General features: G+C 46.7%; 1 protein-coding gene across 2 annotated transcripts in view, besides 1 other annotated feature; it reads right to left on the bottom strand.

Moving 5' to 3' along the window:
• TMEM114 (transmembrane protein 114) overlaps positions 1-16,454 on the bottom strand; it is a 63,960-nt gene that overhangs the window by 21,939 nt on the left and 25,567 nt on the right. The window contains exon 3 of one of the 2 annotated variants that reach the window (NR_110736.2): positions 3,625-3,717. The exons of the other annotated variant lie outside the window; for it this stretch is intronic. The gene's annotated coding sequence lies outside the window, so the exon portion shown is untranslated. The remainder of the gene's footprint in view (positions 1-3,624; positions 3,718-16,454) is intronic. 2 annotated transcript variants of the gene reach the window in all.
• Positions 4,156-4,888: an enhancer, noted in NCBI's record as "NANOG-H3K4me1 hESC enhancer chr16:8602648-8603380 (GRCh37/hg19 assembly coordinates)". NCBI's record gives its function as "activates a minimal SCP1, AML or CMV promoter by ChIP-STARR-seq in naive and primed H9 embryonic stem cells {active_cell/tissue: H9 hESC(naive and primed)}" and the evidence as "EXISTENCE:reporter gene assay evidence [ECO:0000049][PMID:30033119]".

Consider the following 16,454-nt stretch of genomic DNA (forward strand, 5'->3'; position numbering starts at 1 on the left):
CACCCCACACACACCCTTGAAATAATAGAACAGGTGCACTGTGTATCTGTTTCTGTACTGTGACCTTTTGCAGGGCCACGAACCATTGTAGTATCCTAGACCTTTTTCACCCCCTAAGAGCAAATTATCTGAGCAGAGATGAAATCTTATATGCATTTTTTGTCCTTTTCTTGCCCATAGAGAAGTGAGCTAAAAATTGCCATGTATATATATACACAGAAAAAAAATACACCCATATATGGAAAATACTTTGTTTTACTTTAACTGACAGAAATGACCATGTGAAATATTTCAATTTTACGTAGTCAGTGGAGGAGCTACTGTTAAAAAGAAATAAAGCATCTTCCAATTTAATAAAGGGAGTGAGAGAGAGAGATCCAGTTGTTGCCTGGGTTAAGAATGCATGATCTCGCCAGGCGCAGTGGCTCATGCCTGTAATCCCAGCACTTTGGGAGGCCAAGGCAGGTGGATCACAAGGTCAGGAGATCAAGACCATCCTGGCTAACACAGTGAAACTCCAGCTCTACTAAAAATACAAAGATTTAGCCAGACATGGCAGCATGCGCCTGCAGTCCCAGCTGCTGGGGAGGCTGAGGCAGGAGAATGGCGTGAACCCTGGAGGTGGAGCTTGCAGTGAGCCGAGATCGTACCACTGCACTGCAGCCTGGGCAACAGAACGAGACTCCATCTCAAAAAAAAAAAAAAAAAAAAAGAATGCATGATCTCAGGTTGGGGGTGGTGGCTCACACCTATAATCCTAGCACTTTGGGAGGCCAAGGTGGGTGGATCACCTGAGGTCAGGAGTTCGAGACCAGCCTGGCCAACATGACAAAACCCCGTCTCTACTAAAAATACAAAAATTAGCCCGAAGTGGTGGTGGGCACCTGTAGTCTCAGCTACTCGGGAGGCTGAGGAAGGAGAATCGCTTGAACCCAGGGGGCAGAGGTTGCAGTGAGCCACGATTGAGCCACTTCACTCAAGCCTGGGCAACAAGAGCAAAACTCCGTCTCGAAAAAAAAAAAAAAAAGAATGCATGATCTCAAAGTGAGATCTGTGTGAACTGAGAAAAATAAGAAAGTTCACATACATTCTGTTTAAAGTTCAACCTTTTATTCCAAGATATCATGTTTTCCTTCGTGTGTGTGTGTATGTGTGTGAAAGATGGTTGTAATAGGAAATGGTAGTGATTATCTTTTTGTATGCGGGGTTCTGTGTCTGTGTGCTCAGGTGGTGGCTGAATTGATAGACTTACTTGCCATGATGAAGAGTAAGTAACAGAACTTCTACCTGTATTAGTCAGGGTTCTCTAGAGGGCAGAAGTAATAGGATAGATGTTGATATATATAAAAGGGAATTTATTCAGGAGAATTGGCTCACATGATCACAAGGTGAAGTCCCCCCACAGTCCATCTGCAAGCTGAGGGGTAAGGAAGCCAGTAGTGGCTCAGTCCGAGTCCCAAAACCTCAAAACCAGGGAAGCCGACAGTGCAGCCTTCAGTCTGTAGCCAAAGGCCCAAGATCCCCTGGCAAACCACTGGTGTAAGCCCGAGAGTCCAAAAGCCAAAGAACTTGGAATCTGATGTTCCAGGGCAGGAAGCATCCATCATGGGAGAAAGATGAAGGCCAGAAGACTCAGCAAGTCAGCTTCTTCCACCATCTTCTGCCTGCTTTTTCTAGCCGTGCTGGCAGCTAATTGGATGGTGTTTACCCACGTTGTGGGTGGGTCTTCCTCTACCAGTCCACTGACTCAAATGATAATCTCTTCTGGCAATAGCCAGAAATACCCAGATACATCCAGAAACAATACTTTGCATCCTTCAAGCCAATCAAGCTGACACTTAATATTAACCATCACAGTACCCTAGAATTTTGTTCGTGTTCTCTGGAATCTAAAATCTGGTCCCTCCTGGCCGGGTGCGGTGGCTCACGCCTGCAATTCCAGCACTTTGGGAGGCCAAGGCGGGCGGATGATGAGGTCAGGAGTTTGAGAGCAGCCTGACCAACATGGTGAAACCCCATCTCTACTAAAAATACAAAATTAGCCTGGTGTGGTGGTGCATGCCTGTAATCCCAGCGACTCTGGAGGCTGAGGCAGAAGAATTGCTTGAACCCTGGAGGCAGAGGTTGCAGTGAGCTGAGATCGCACCATTGCTCTCCAGCCTGAGCAACAAGAGCAAAACTTCGTCAAAAAAAACAAAAAAAAAAAAACCAAAAAAAAAAAGCAAGCAAACAAACAAACACTGGTCCCTCCTAACACTCCAGCTCTTGGGGCTCTGAATGTTCACCTCCTGCCCACTCCCATATCCACACATGCTTGTGGCTGCTAGAGAGATTCATCCCCTTCTTCACCCTGTGGTCCTCGCTGAACCCACAGGATAGAACATCCACTGCTCTCCTCCTGAGAGAACCGCAGTAGAAGACTGAGCAAAACATTCCTGGGCACAGCTATTCTGCATCTCACCTTGTACTTGATTTGCAGAACTACAAAGATGAATGATACATGGTTCTAACCCTAAACGAGTTCAAAGTCTAGCAAAGGTGACAGAGGTCTCCCGCCATCCTGTTCGCTCACTCTTCCTTGTTCTACTGAGCTATGGGTCTCCCAGGAAACGTGCTGCGGTCTCTGGCACTGGAGGATTTTTTTCTCCAAAGAAAGGATCCCCTAGAATTCTGGTTTTTACCAGAACCAAGAACCAGGAACAAGACTCTGGCCAAAACATTTGGCCAGACTTTGTTAATTTCATGAGGCAGGGGAAATGCAAGTTTCACGCTCCTGGAATGGCTGCAAGCAAGACCCTCTGAAAAGCCTGTTCTTCAGATAAGTTAGTCAGACACCATGTGTTTGAATCCAAGCTCCAGCCCCTAGTAACGGTGGGACCCTGACTGAGCAAGTGGCTTAGCCTACACTGTGTAGCCTTCTCTACACTGTTATAGTTAAAAATAATATTTAACATTAAAAAACAAAGATGAAAATGTCAAGGCCAAATTAGGTGAGCATTGCATAAGAAGAAAATTCCACAAATAAACAGTTGGCCCCAAACTCAACTTCCTGTGGCCAAAGCAAAGAGAGAAAGTCCATCAGTGACAACATTCCCAGTATCCTCAGATTTAACCATACTAAAGTTTGACAAGAAACATTGACTTTCTGTCTGTGAGGCAGGACAAAAATTCATCTTTTCAAAACCTTTCATAGAGTAGCGCAATTGATATTATGAGAGCATCTCAAACAATACTCTGAAATAAAATTTAACAGTGTGTTTCTAGGGGTGTTTCATTAAACTTCTCCATTCAAGCTCATGTACCAAATGTAAAACCCATGGCCATAACTGTGCAAAACTGAGAGCCACCCAAATGTCCTTCACTAGGTTATTGGATACACAAACTATACTACATCAGAACCATGGAATACTACTCAGCAATGAAAAGGAGCAAATGCAACAAAGTGGATAGATCTCAAAGGTATTATGCTGAGTGAAGAAAAGCCAGTCTCCAAAGATTCTATATTGTATGGTTCCATTTATATAACATTCTCAAAATTACAGAGCTCCAAAGCTAGAGGACAGAGGAGTGATTTCCAGGGGTGAAACAAGGACTATAAGGGGGACCAGGCACAGCGGCTCACACCTGTAATCCCAGCACTTTGGGAGGCTGAAGCAAGAGGATCACTTGAAGCCAGGAATTTGAGACCAGCCTGGGCAACACAGCAAGACCCTATCTCTGCAAAAAAAAAAAAAAATTTTAATATTAGCCAGGCATGGTTGTGTGTGCCTATAGTCCCAGCTACTACGGGGGCTAAGGTGGGAGCATCACTTGAACCCAGGAGGTTGAGGCTGTAGTGAGCTATATTCACTCCACTGCTCTCCAGCCTGAACCACAGAGTGAGACTCTATTTCTTTAAAAGAAAAAAAAAATACTACAAAGGGTAGCTACTTAGAGCTCCTTTGAGGTGATTGAAAAGGTCTGCTTCATGATTGTGCTGTGCAAAAATCTATACATAGCAGAAATTTGCACAAAACTGCACACACACACACACACACACAAAGATAAGATCTGTAGTTTAACTAACAGTATTGCAATGTGGATTTTCTAGCTTTGATATTGCACTGCAGTTATGTAGGATGTCACCACTGGGGAAAGATAAGTGAAGGGTTCAAGGTACTCTATGTACTATTTTTGCCACTGCCTGCGAGCCTATAATTATTTCAAAATAAATAGGAAAAAAAAAAAAAAGACAATGGCTGTGCTCTAAGGTCCTACCTGCTCCTGAATTCTCTAACTCAGGGACCCTGGCCTTCCGCCCTGAAGGTGAAACCTTGCTGTTTCTGCACAAACCCCTCCCCTCCCCTCCCAGCAGCCCTTGATCCTTGGGCTTAACAGCTCCCAGGGCCCACCGAGCTGTGATTCTGAAGTCGTCTTTGATCACTCACTTTAGGTCTCTTACCACTTAAGCTGCCTGTATTTAAACTTTCCCCGAGTGATCTCCATCCTTTTATCCAGGTCCTTTGATGGCTTGGCTCTGCTCACTTGCTAATCCAGCCGAGGTTCTTGCTTCCTGCCAGGTTTTTCTTCCGACTTCTCATCCTCCCCTTTGTTGCTCACCCTTTGCTTGGCGAAGAGGCCAGGATGGAGATGACAGGAGAGCACAAGAGTGCCGATCGCAGCCGTTTCATTCCTCTGGTCTGAGAAACACTCAGCTGGCCCTGGGGCATCAGCTCAGTGCCCCTGCTTTCCAGACCAAGAATCAAGACCTGTGATTTAATGGGCATTCTTTCATATCACTTTGAAATTGAGGTTCTGGAAAATCTGGCCACGGGTGGTCCCTGTGGGTGTCTGTGGCCAGAGAAGTCTTTCAGGAGAACGAAAATAGCTGTAGAGTCCAAAGAATCAGGAGATGAAGATTCAAGGACTTGAATCTTTTTTTGGGGGGACTGAGTCTCACTCTGTTGCCCAGGCTGGAGTGCAGTGGCACTATCTAGGCTCACTGCAGTCTCAGCTTTTCTTTCTTTTTTTTTTGAGACGGAGTCTCGCTGTGTCACCCAGGCTGGAGTGCAGTGGCACGATCTCGACTCACTGCAAGCTCCACCTCCTGGGTTCACGCCATTCTCCTGCCTCAGCCTCCCAAGTAGCTGGGACTGCCGGCGCCTGCCATCACGCCTCCTATTTTGTATTTTTAGTAGAGATGGGGCTTCACTGTGTTAGCCAGGATGGTCTTGATCTCCTGACCTCATGGTCCGCCCACCTCGGCCTCCCAAAGTGCTGGGATTACAGGCGTGAGCCACTGCGCCTGCCCAATCTCAGCTTTTCAAGTTCATTATCTTCCCACCTCAGCCTCCCAAGTAGCTGGAATTACAGGCTCACACCACTATGGCTGCTAATTTTTTCCTTTTCTTTTTTTTTTTTTCTTTTGAGACAGGGTCTCTCTCAGTCACCCAGGCTAGAGTACAGTGGTGCAATCTCAGCTCACTGCAACCTCTGGCTCCCAGGTTCAAGCGATTCTCATGTGTCAGCCGCCTGAATAGCTGGGATTACAGGCATGCGCCACCACACCCAGTTAATTTTTGTGTTTTTTGTAGAGACAGGGTTTCACCATGTTGCCCAGGCTGATCTTGAACTCCTGAGCTCAGGTGATCCACCCGACTTGGCCTCCCTAAGACTACTTCACTGTAACAGAACAATAAGAGATGCATTTGAAAGGGCTTCTGTTCTTTAATTTTCCCCTTTATTCACTGCCTGGGCCCTGCAAACAGATGAGGTCATGTGATTTCAGGGAAAAAAAGGGGTAGGGGCGGACAGAGTGGCTCAAGCCTGCAATTCCAGCCCTTTGGGAGGCCAAGGCAGGAGCATCGCTTGAGACCAGGAGTTCAAGACTGCAGTGATCTATGATTGCACCAAACTCTGTCTCTAATAATAATAATAATAATAATAATAATAAAAATGAGGCACCATTGCTGACCAGAGAGAGAGAATCTCCTTCTTGACCTCTCATAGCCCCTTCATAGCACTTATCTCCATTTGGAATCATACGTGTGACACTTGATTGATCCTCCACCCCCAGCCGTGCTTTCTGTGGGGTTGGCTCTGCTTCTCTTTCGCTCCCCACGGACAGTGTCTGCTGGTGCATACTAAGTCTTCCATAATATTTGCTGAATGTAAGAATGATGGAGTTAATTAAGCCCAAGGAGTGAGGCCAGGTTCAAAATCCTGGAAATGAGTCAAATAAGAATCCTAAAAGCAGCTGACACTGGCTTAGCACTCACAGATGAGAAGTCCTGTTCTACGTACTTTGCCTGCTGTAACTTATGCAACGGCCACAACAACCCTGAGGGTAGGCACTGATGTTAGTGCTGTCTTAAGGATGAGGAAGTTGAGGGACGAAGAGCTTAAGCAGTTTGTCCTTCGTACCACAGCTGGGTGTTCAAATGCCTATAGAGCCTGTGCCTTGAGCCCCTATGCTCTGCAGACCCCCAGAAGTAAACGTGGAAATATGGTCTCATAGATGGCTGGAAGTCAGAAGGTGAGGCAGCCTTCAGTACCAGGGCCTTCCCACTCATGGGGTTTCCCTCCCCTCTCCTCCCAGGTCTCTCCTTCACAGTAACCTTTGTGGTTTTCTCTGGTTTTGCCCATGTGAGTTGGTGTTTATCATGCACATTTCCTGAGCTCTTCTCTCTTCACATGTGATGCTGACTTTCTGAGCACCTCATACATCCCAAAGGTATGCACTACTGATGCAGGGTAAGTTCTTGGCTTAGCCCAGGAAGGAATTCAAGAGCAAGCCTGTGGTAGAAGAAAACAGCTGTATTGAGGAGGTGGCAGGGTTGCAGCTCCGTGACTGCTCCTGCAAGAGCAGGGCTACCCCACAGGCAATGTGCTAAGAGTAGCAGCTCAGGGCAGTTTTGCAGTCGTCTTTATACCCACTTTTAATGATATACTAATTAAGGAGCAGCCTTTCAGAATCAGCTAGAAAATGAGCAGTAATTTCCGGGTGGTGGGGAGGTGTTGCCATGGCAAGGCAAGGGGCAGTAATTTCTGGGTGTTGTCATGGCAATGGTAAACTGTCATGGCGCTGGTAGATGCGTCTTTTGGTTCCTCGTCCCAGCTTCCACCAGTCTTCAATCTGGTCCGGGGTCCAGTTATATCTGCTGCCTATCTCACTATTGTTTTCACGTCGATGACTCCCCATGCATCTGACCAGGTAATTCTCAACCAGGACAATCGTGTCTTCCAGGGGACACCTGGCAATATCTGGAGACGTTTTTGGTTGTCATAATTGCAAAGGGGGGATGCAGTTGGCATCTACTGGGTGGAATCCAGGGATTCTGCCAAACAGCCTACAATACAGAAGGAAGCTCCCAAGAACAAAGAATATCTGGCCTCAAATGTCACTAGTACCAAGGTTGGGAAAGCCTGGTTGGCCTCACCCTAAGAAGTATCTCCAACTGCCTCTTGGACGTGTCCATCTTGGATGTCCCCACAGTGTCTGAAGCGCTGTCTTCCAGCATGAATTTACTATCTACTCCCCTCCTTCAACACCACCTGTCGGCATGCCTCCTGGCATTTTCCAGCTCTGTGAATCATAATACCATCCATACTCATATTTCATCTGAGAACCCGGTCTCTTCTTCCTGCATCCATCACTCACCCAGTCCATCAATTCTACCTCGTAAATGCCAAGTCTGAATTCTTCTCTCCTTCCCGCCAGCTCTGCCCACATTCTCTCATCTACACAAGTATCAGCCCCTCTGCCGGCCTTTGTCCCTGCAGTTATACCAGCCCCCGCTGCTCCAGCCCATCACTCAAGCTATAGACAGAGATCCTTCTAGGGCACAAAAGTATCGCCTCCTCCATAGAACTCCCCACTGGGTTTCCTTTTGGGTTGAAAAGGGGTGAAAACATTCATCCTTTTCATCCTTTGGGGATGAAAATGTTCTAGAACTAGATGGTGGCAATGGTTGCATGACACTGTGCATGTACTGAATGCCACTGAGTTGTGTGCACTTTATTTGTCGTTGTTGTTGTTGTTGTTGTTTTGAGATGGAGTTTGGCTCTTGTTGCCCAGGCTGGAGTGCAATGGCGTGATCTTGGCTCACTGCAACCTCCGCCTCCCGAGATCAAGTGATTCTCCTGCCCCAGCCTCCTGAATAGCTGGGATTACAGGTACCCGCCATCACACATGGCTAATTTTTTGTATTTTTAGTAGAGATGGGGTTTCACCATGTTGGCCAGGCTGGTCTCGAACTCCTGACCTCAGGGGATCCACCCGCCTCAGCCTCCCAAAGTGCCAGGATTATAGGCGTGAGCCACCGCGCCTGACCCGTGTGCACTTTAAAATGATTGAAATGTAAATTTTATGTCATGTGTATTTTATCACAATTTTTTAACACCCTTCACATTGATCTCAATGCTCCTCCCTGTGGCCTTCCGTAATGTGGCCCCTGCTGACCGCTCCAGCCTCTGTTCTTGCTAAGGATGCAAATAAATAGTTGGATTTTGCTGGGGACCAGAGCTGGAGGTGTCTGAGATCCCATGGAAGAAATAATGAATCGGTGAGGCTTGAGGAAACAGGATACACTCAGAGAGGGTAGCAGATTGTACTTTCTAAACGTGGCTCTAGCAGCTCTCCAATCCCCCATGCCCTTGTTAGAATATGACCTTGATACTTCTCCCAGGGAGGTTGAGGTCTATGTTCCCTCCTTGTGAATCAGAACAGGCTGTAACTGTGGCAGAAGGGATGCTATATGACTTCTGAGACTAGGTCACAAAAGGTAACACAACTTCCACCTTGCCCATGGGAGCACTAGCCCTGGGCCCAGGAACTGCCATATAAGCCTCCCAAAAGCCCTGATACTACCATATTGTCAGGAAGCCCAGTGTAGCCCATGGGGAGAGCCATATGGAAAGGCCCCGAGATGATGTAAAGAGAGAAGTGCTCAGCCTGCCCCTAGCTGCTCCACTGCCTGCTGTTCCAGCTCCAGCTACTGCATGAAAGAGGACAAACCACAATCGCCCAGCTGAGTCCTTCTGCAATTCCCAACTCTCAGAGACCACAAGCAATATACAAGGGTCACTAGTTTTGGCCACTACATCTTGGGTAATTTATTAGGCAGCTACGAAGAAATGTATGTGGCCCTTAAGAACACAGGTGCTGGTCAGCAGCCTTGGTCCCTTTTCCAGAACCAACTTACCCAGGGCATGAACTCAGGTAATTATTTCCTGCCTCTGAGCCTCAATTTCCTCATTTTGGGAAAGATAATAACAGCACCTACTTCACAGACATCGTGGGAAGACTGAAGAAGATAAAGCGCCATCATCATCTGGTAACGTGAGCTGTTATTAACACTTTGATCTTTAAAATAATCTTGTGATATAGTGACTTTAGTAACTTCTTAGAGCTGCCCTGACAAACCACCACAAATTAGGTGGCTTAAAACAACTGAAATGTATTCTCTCACAATTCTGAAGGTCCAAATTTCAAAATCAGTCCAGGCAGGTGCAGTGGCTCACACCTGTAATCCCAGCACTTTGGGAGGCTAAGGCAGGCGGATCACCTGATGTCAGGAGCTCGACACCAGCTTGACCAACATGGTGAAACCCCATCTCTACTAAAAATACAGAAATTAGCTGGGTGTGTGGTGCATGCTTGTAATCCCAGCTACTAGGGAGGCTGAGGCAGGAGAATCACTTGAACCTGAGAAGCAGATGTTGCAGTGAGCACACGCCACTTCACTCCAGCCTAGGCAACAGAATGAGAGTCTGTCTCAAAAAGAAAAAGAAAAAAAACAAAGTTCAAAATCAAGGTGTCAGGTGGGCCATGCACCCTCTGAGGACTCCAGTGGAGGATCCTTCTTTGCCTATTCCAGCTCCTGGTGGCTCCAGGTGCATCTTGGCTTGTGGCAGCATCTCTCCAACCCCTGCCTCTGTCTTCATGTGGCCTTCTCTCTGTGTATCTCTCCATCCTCACATGGTCTTCTTAGAAAGACACCAGTCATTGGTTTTAGGGCCCACCCTAACCCAATGTAACTTCATCTTAACTATAGTAATTACACCGGTAAAGACCGCTTTTCCTAAGTAAGGTCACATTTATAGGTAGTGAAGTTACAATTTCAACATGATCTTTTTGGGGCACATGCTTGAACCTCCAACAGTCCCCTATTTAGGCAAGCAACTACAACACCCACCCTGAGCATTTCACCCCACCTCTCAGGGCCCCATTGACAGAAGGTGGAAGATCAGATGCCAGTATGATTGCACCCAGTTCTTTTTTTTTTTTTCGACATGGAGTTTACTCTGTCACCCAGGCTGGAGTGCAATGGCATGATCTCGGCTCACTGCAACCCCTGCCTCCTGGGTTCAAGCAATTCTCCTGCCTCAGCCTCCCGAGTAGCTGGGACTGCAGGCACGTGCCACCATGCCCAGCTAATTTTTTTTTGTATTTTTAGTAGAGACGGGGTTTCACCATGTTAGCCAGGATGGTCTCGATCTCCTGACCTTGTAATCCACCCACCTCAGCCTCCCAAAGTGCTGGGATTAAAGGCGTGAGCCACTGCACCCGGCCTCTTTTTATTTTTCTTTTTGAGATGGAGTTTGCTGTGTCACCCAGGCTGGAGTGCAGTGGCATGATCTCGGCTCACTGCAACCTCTTCTTCCCAGGTTCAAGTGATTGTCCTGCCTCAGCCTCCTGGTTAGCTGGGACTATACGCATGCGCCACTACGCCCGGATAATTTTTGTATTTTTAGCAGAGACGGGGTTTCACCGTGTTGGCCAGGCTGGTCTCCAACTCATAACCTCAAGTGATCCGCCCACCTCAGCCTCCCAAAACGCTGGGATTATAGGCGTGAGCCGCCGGACCCTGCCTTAATTCCACCCAGTTCTGAGACTAGCTGCTTCCATCGCACAGATCAGGACCAACGTCCCAGCTGTGGAGAAAAAAACAATGGCTGCTTCAAGCATTACAGGTGAATCCTCGGCCCGCCATGGGCTCCCTGAGCTGCTACTTCCAAGCAAGGACCCAGCAATCCAGTGGGTGCAGGAGGGAGCAAACTCCACCAAGGAACAAAGGTGGAAGCGGATAGGGGAGTCGGCTTTTTCAATGCATGAATATTTTATCAGTCATCAAAGCGTTGTTTCTCTTGTGGGCTCTGAGTACTCTGTTAAAAGAAGCATTTCATTGAGGAAATAGAAATGAATGTGGGACAGACGTCGATGTTCTAACAGAATCCCCATGCCACCCTCACAAGGAGAAGGTGGCTGAGCCCTGCAGTTGCGATGCTGCCGACTTCGTTCTGCTGATGATGGAGGAGCTGTGTGTGCGTGAAGCCCAGGTTTCCATGACAGAAGCTGCAGCACCAGGACAAGGACTGAGATCCCCATGGGGCTCTTTAGACCCCAAAGGTGAGAAGTCGGGAGCCTGGGGTGGCTGAATGGGAGGCAGAAGTGGGCGGCTTAGCTGGGCACTCAGAAGACCGGGCTTTGCGTCTCTGTTCTGGAAACTTCTGGCTAATGATCTTGTTGTGGTTGTTGTTGTTTGAGATAGGGTCTCACTCTGTTACCCAGGCTGGAGTGCAGTGGTGCCATCACAGCTCACTGCAGCCTCGACCTCCTAGGCTCAATTCCCCCACCTCAGCCTCCTGAGTAGCTGGGACTACAGGTGCACACCACCATACCCGGCTATTTTTTATTATTTTTTTTTTGTAGAGATGGGGTCTTGCTATGTTGCTTAGGCTGGGCTCAAACTCCTGGGCTCAAGCGATCCTCCTGTCTTGGCCTTCTAAATTGTTGGGATTACAGGTGTGAGGCACTGTGCCCAGCATGCCCAGTGATCTTGGATGCATCCTTGACCTCCCTGAGTTTCTGTTGGCTTGTCCATCAGTGGGAGCGAGGGTGGGCATCCTCTCCTTGGACAGTGGCAAGGGTCAGATGAGCCTTGGAACTTGCCCTGGAATCTCTAAAGTGCTTGGCCATGTTAACAAAAGTTTGCATGCCAGGGTGGCCCATCCTCAGCGACTAGGGGCTGGGCACAGAGGACGCACTTCCTGCTGGCTCCAAAAGGCGGGTTGTTTATTCTCAAGGAAGAAAGGGAGGGAGGTAGCCCGGGATGTCAAAGGGAGATTCTGAGGCTGGAGTTCGAGTCTCACCCTGGTTTCTCTCACTATCAGCCTCTACCAGAGCAAGTCTTCTCCTTCTGTGGGCCTCAGGCTCCTGTCTGTCATTCAGGGCATGAGAACATGCTTGGCAAGTTTCCAGGGGGCCCTCACTATGTCTGGGATCCCCCATCAGCCCCAACGTTCACCTCCAGGAGAAGGCACCAAAGTCAGCATTGGGGACTGAGGCTGGGTGTATTAGTCTGTTCTCCACTGTTGGTAAAGACATACCTGAGACTGGGTAAATTATAAAGAAAAAGAGATTTAATGGACTCACAGTTCCACGTGGCTGGGGAGGCCTCACAATCATGGCAGAAGGCAAAAGACACGTCTTATATCACAGCAGGCGAGACAGGGAATGAGAGCCAAGCAAAAGAGGGAAACCTCTTAAAAACCATCAGGTTTCTTAAGACTTATTCGCTACCACGAGAACAGTATGGGGGAAACTGCTCCCATGATTCGATTATCTCGCACAGGGTCCCTCCTGGAATTCTGGGAACTGCAACTCAAGATGAGATTTGGGTGGGGACACAGCCAAACCATAACACTGGGTTTTCAGTCTACTCCTGTCTGTCCAGCCCTAGGGAGATTCCCCTTCCCTTGCCTATAGCACAGTCTTGGGCAACACTTATTGAGCTAGTTAATCAAGGCAAAATTAGGAGGAAGAGTTTCTGGTCTCTCAAAAGACTGGACAGGACATTATTTTCATCGTACAACACACTCTTCCCTGCCACCTTCTCCCCATCTGCTTTACAGAACTTCTTACCAGGAAGCATACCCCGCATTCCACCAGCCATGTTTACTGTCTGTCATACCCGTGCACTCATACACACACATGCACAGACCCCAGAATGTCAGCTTCAAAAGGCAGGTTTTGAGTCACTTTTGTTCACTGCTAAATCCTTGGTGTTTCAAACAGCACCTGGCACATCAGGCATCAAAGAAGTCACTGTTGAATGAATGAGTCGATGAGCATATGAATGAGTAAGTGAATGAATGAATAACTATATGAACAAGTGAGTGAATAAGTGAATGAATGAGTGAATAAATGAATGAGTGAGCGAGTGAATAAATGAATCAGTGAATGAATGAGTGAGGGAGGAAGGCAATGAGTGGGGGAATGAATGAATGAATGAGTGAGTGAGGTAATGAGTGAATCAGTGAATAGTGAATGAGTGAGTGAAGGAGGGAGTGAATGAGTGAGTGAATGAGTGAGTGAATGAATGAGTGAGTGAGGGAATGAGTGAGTGAATGAGTGAGTGAATGAGTAAATGAGTGAATGAATGAGTAAGTGAATGAGTGAGTGAGTAAGTGAATGAGTGAATGAGGGAGGGAGGGAATGAGTGAGTGAATGAGTGAGTATATGAATGAGTAAATGAGTGACTGAATGTGTGAGTGAATGAGTGAGTAAATGAGTGAGTGAGTGAATGAGTGAGTAAATGAGTGAGTGAATGAATGAGTGAGTGAGTGAATGAGTGAGCGAATAAGTAAGTGAATGAGTGAGTGAATGAGTGAGTTAGTGAATAAGTGAGTTAGTGAATGAGTGAATGAGTCAGTGAGTGAGTGAATGAGTCAGTGAATGAGTGAGTAAATGAGTGAGTGAGTGAGTGAATGAGTGACTGAGTAAATGAGTGAGGGAGGGAGGGAATGAGTGAGTGAGTGAGTGAATGAGTGAGTAAATGAGTGAGTGAGGGAGGGAGGGAATGAGTGAATGAGTGAGTGAGTGAATTAGTGAGTGAATGAATGAGTGAGTGAGGGAATGAGTGAGTGAGTGAATGAGTAAATGAGTGAGTGAATAAGTGAGTGAGTGAATGAGTGAATGAGTGAGTGAGGGAGGGAGGGAATGAGTGAGTGAATGAGTATGTGAATGAGTAAATGAGTGACTGAATGAGTGAGTTAATGAGTGAGTGAGTGAATGAGTGAGTGCGTCAATGAGTGAGTGAATGAGTGAGGAAATAAGTAAGTGAATGAGTGAGTGAGTGAATGAGTGAGTGAGTGAATGAATCAGTCAGTAAGTGAATGAATGAGTCAATGAATTAGTGAGGGAATGAGTGAGTGAGGGAATGAGTGAGTGAGTAAATGAGTGAGTGAGGGAGGGAGGGAATGAGTGACGGAGTAAATGAGTGAGTGAAGGAGGGAGGGAATGAGTGAGTGAATGAGTAAGTGAGTGAATGAGTGAGTAAATGAGTGAGGGAGGGAGGGAATGAGTGAGTGAATAAGTGAGTGAGTGAATGAGTGAGTAAATGAGTGAGGGAGGGAGGGAATGAGTGAATGAGTGAGTGAATGAGTAAATGAGTGAGTGAGTGAATTAGTGAGTAAATGAGTGAGTGAATGAGTGAGAGAGTGATGGAGGGAAGGAGTGAGTGAATGAGTGAGTGAATGAATGAGTGAGTGAGGGAATGAGTGAGTGAATGAGTAAATTGAGTGAATGAGTAAGTGAATGAGTAAGTGAATGAGTGAGTGAGGGAGGGAGGGAATGAGTGAGTGAATGAGTGAGTGTGTGAATGAGTAAATGAGTGACTGAATGAGTGAGTGAGTGAGTAAATGAGTGAGTGAATGAGTGAATGAATGAGTGAATGAGTGAGCAAATAAGTAAGTGAATGAGTGAGTGAATGAGTCAGTGAGTGAATGAATGAGTCAGTGAATGAGTGAGGGAATGAGTGAGTGAATAAATGAGTGAGTGAGGGAGGGAGGGTATGAGTGAGTGAATGAGTGAGTAAATGAGTGAGTGAGGGAGGGAGGGAATGAGTGAATGAGTGAGTGAATGAGTAAACGAGTGAGTTAATTAGTGAGTGAATGAGTGAGGCAATGAGTAAGTGAATGAGTGAGTGAATGAGTAAGTGAATGAGTGAGTAAGTGAATGAGTGACTGAGGGAGGGAGGAAAAGAGTGAGTGAATGAGTAAGTGAATGAGTGAGTAAGTGAATGAGTGACTGAGGGAGGGAGGAAATGAGTGAGTGAATGAGTGTGTGAATGAGTAAATGAGTGACTGAATGAGTGAGTGAATGAGTAAATGAGTGAGTGAATGAGTGAGCGAATAAGTAAGTGAATGAGTAAGTGAATGAGTGAGTTAGTGAATGAGTGAGTGAGTGAATGAGTCAGTGAGTGAATGAATGAGTCAGTGAATAAGTGAGGGAATGAGTGAGTGAATGACTGAGTGAGTAAATGAGTGAGGGAGGGAGGGAATGAGTGAGTGAGTGAATGAGTGAGGGAGGGAGGGAGGGAGGGAGGGAATGAGTGAATGAGTGAGTGAGTGAATTAGTGAGTGAATGAATGAGTGAGTGAGGGAATGAGTAAATGAGTGAGTGAACGAGTAAGTAAATGAGTGAGTGAATGAGTGAATGAGTGAGTGAGGGAGGGCGGGAGGGAATGAGTGAGTGAATGAGTATGTGAATGAGTAAATGAGTGACTGAATGAGTGAGTGAATGAGTAAATGAGTGAGTGAGTGCATGAATGAGTGAGTGAGTGAATGAGTGAGGAAATAAGTAAGTGAATGAGTGAGTTAGTGAATGAGTGAGTGAATGAGTTAGTGAATGAGTGAGTAAATGAGTGAGTGAGTGCATGAATGAGTGAGTGGGTGAATGAGTGAGTTAGTGAATGAGTGAGTTAGTGAATGAGTGAGTGAGTGAATGAGTGATGAAATAAGTGAATGAGTGATGAAATAAGTGAATGAGTGATGAAATAAGTGAATGAGTGAGTTAGAGAATGAGTCAGTGAGAGAATGAGTCAGTGAGTGAATGAGTCAGTGAATGAGTGAGGGAATGAGTGAGTGAGTGAATGAGTGAGTGAGTAAATGAGTGAGTGAGGGAGGGAGGGAATGAGTGAGTGAGTAAATGAGTGAGGGAGGGACGGAGGGAATGAATGAGTGAATGAGTGAGTAAATGAGTGAGTGACGGAGGGAGGGAATGAGTGAATGAGTCAGGGAATGAGTGAGTGAGTGAATGAGTGAGTGAGTAAATGAGTGAGTGACGGAGGGAGGGAATGAGTGAGTGAATGAGTGAGTGAGTGAATGAGTGAGTAAATGAGTGAGTGAGGGAGGGAGGGAATGAGTGAATGAGTGAGTGAATGAGTGAGTGAGTGAATGAGTGAGTAAATGAGTGAGTGAGGGAGGGAGGGAATGAGTGAATGAGTGAGTGAATGAGTAAATGAGTGAGTGAGTGAATTAGTGAGTAAATGAGTGAGTGAATGAGTGAGTGAGTGATGGAGGGAATGAGTGAGTGAATGAGTGAGTGAATGAATGAGGGAGGGAGGGAGTGAATGAGTGAGTGAGTGAATGAGTGAATGAGTGACTGAGTGAGGGAATGAGTGAGTGAGGGA

The sequence above is a fragment of the Homo sapiens genome, chromosome 16, assembly GCF_000001405.40.
Source record: "Homo sapiens chromosome 16, GRCh38.p14 Primary Assembly".
Lineage (NCBI taxonomy): Eukaryota > Metazoa > Chordata > Mammalia > Primates > Hominidae > Homo > Homo sapiens.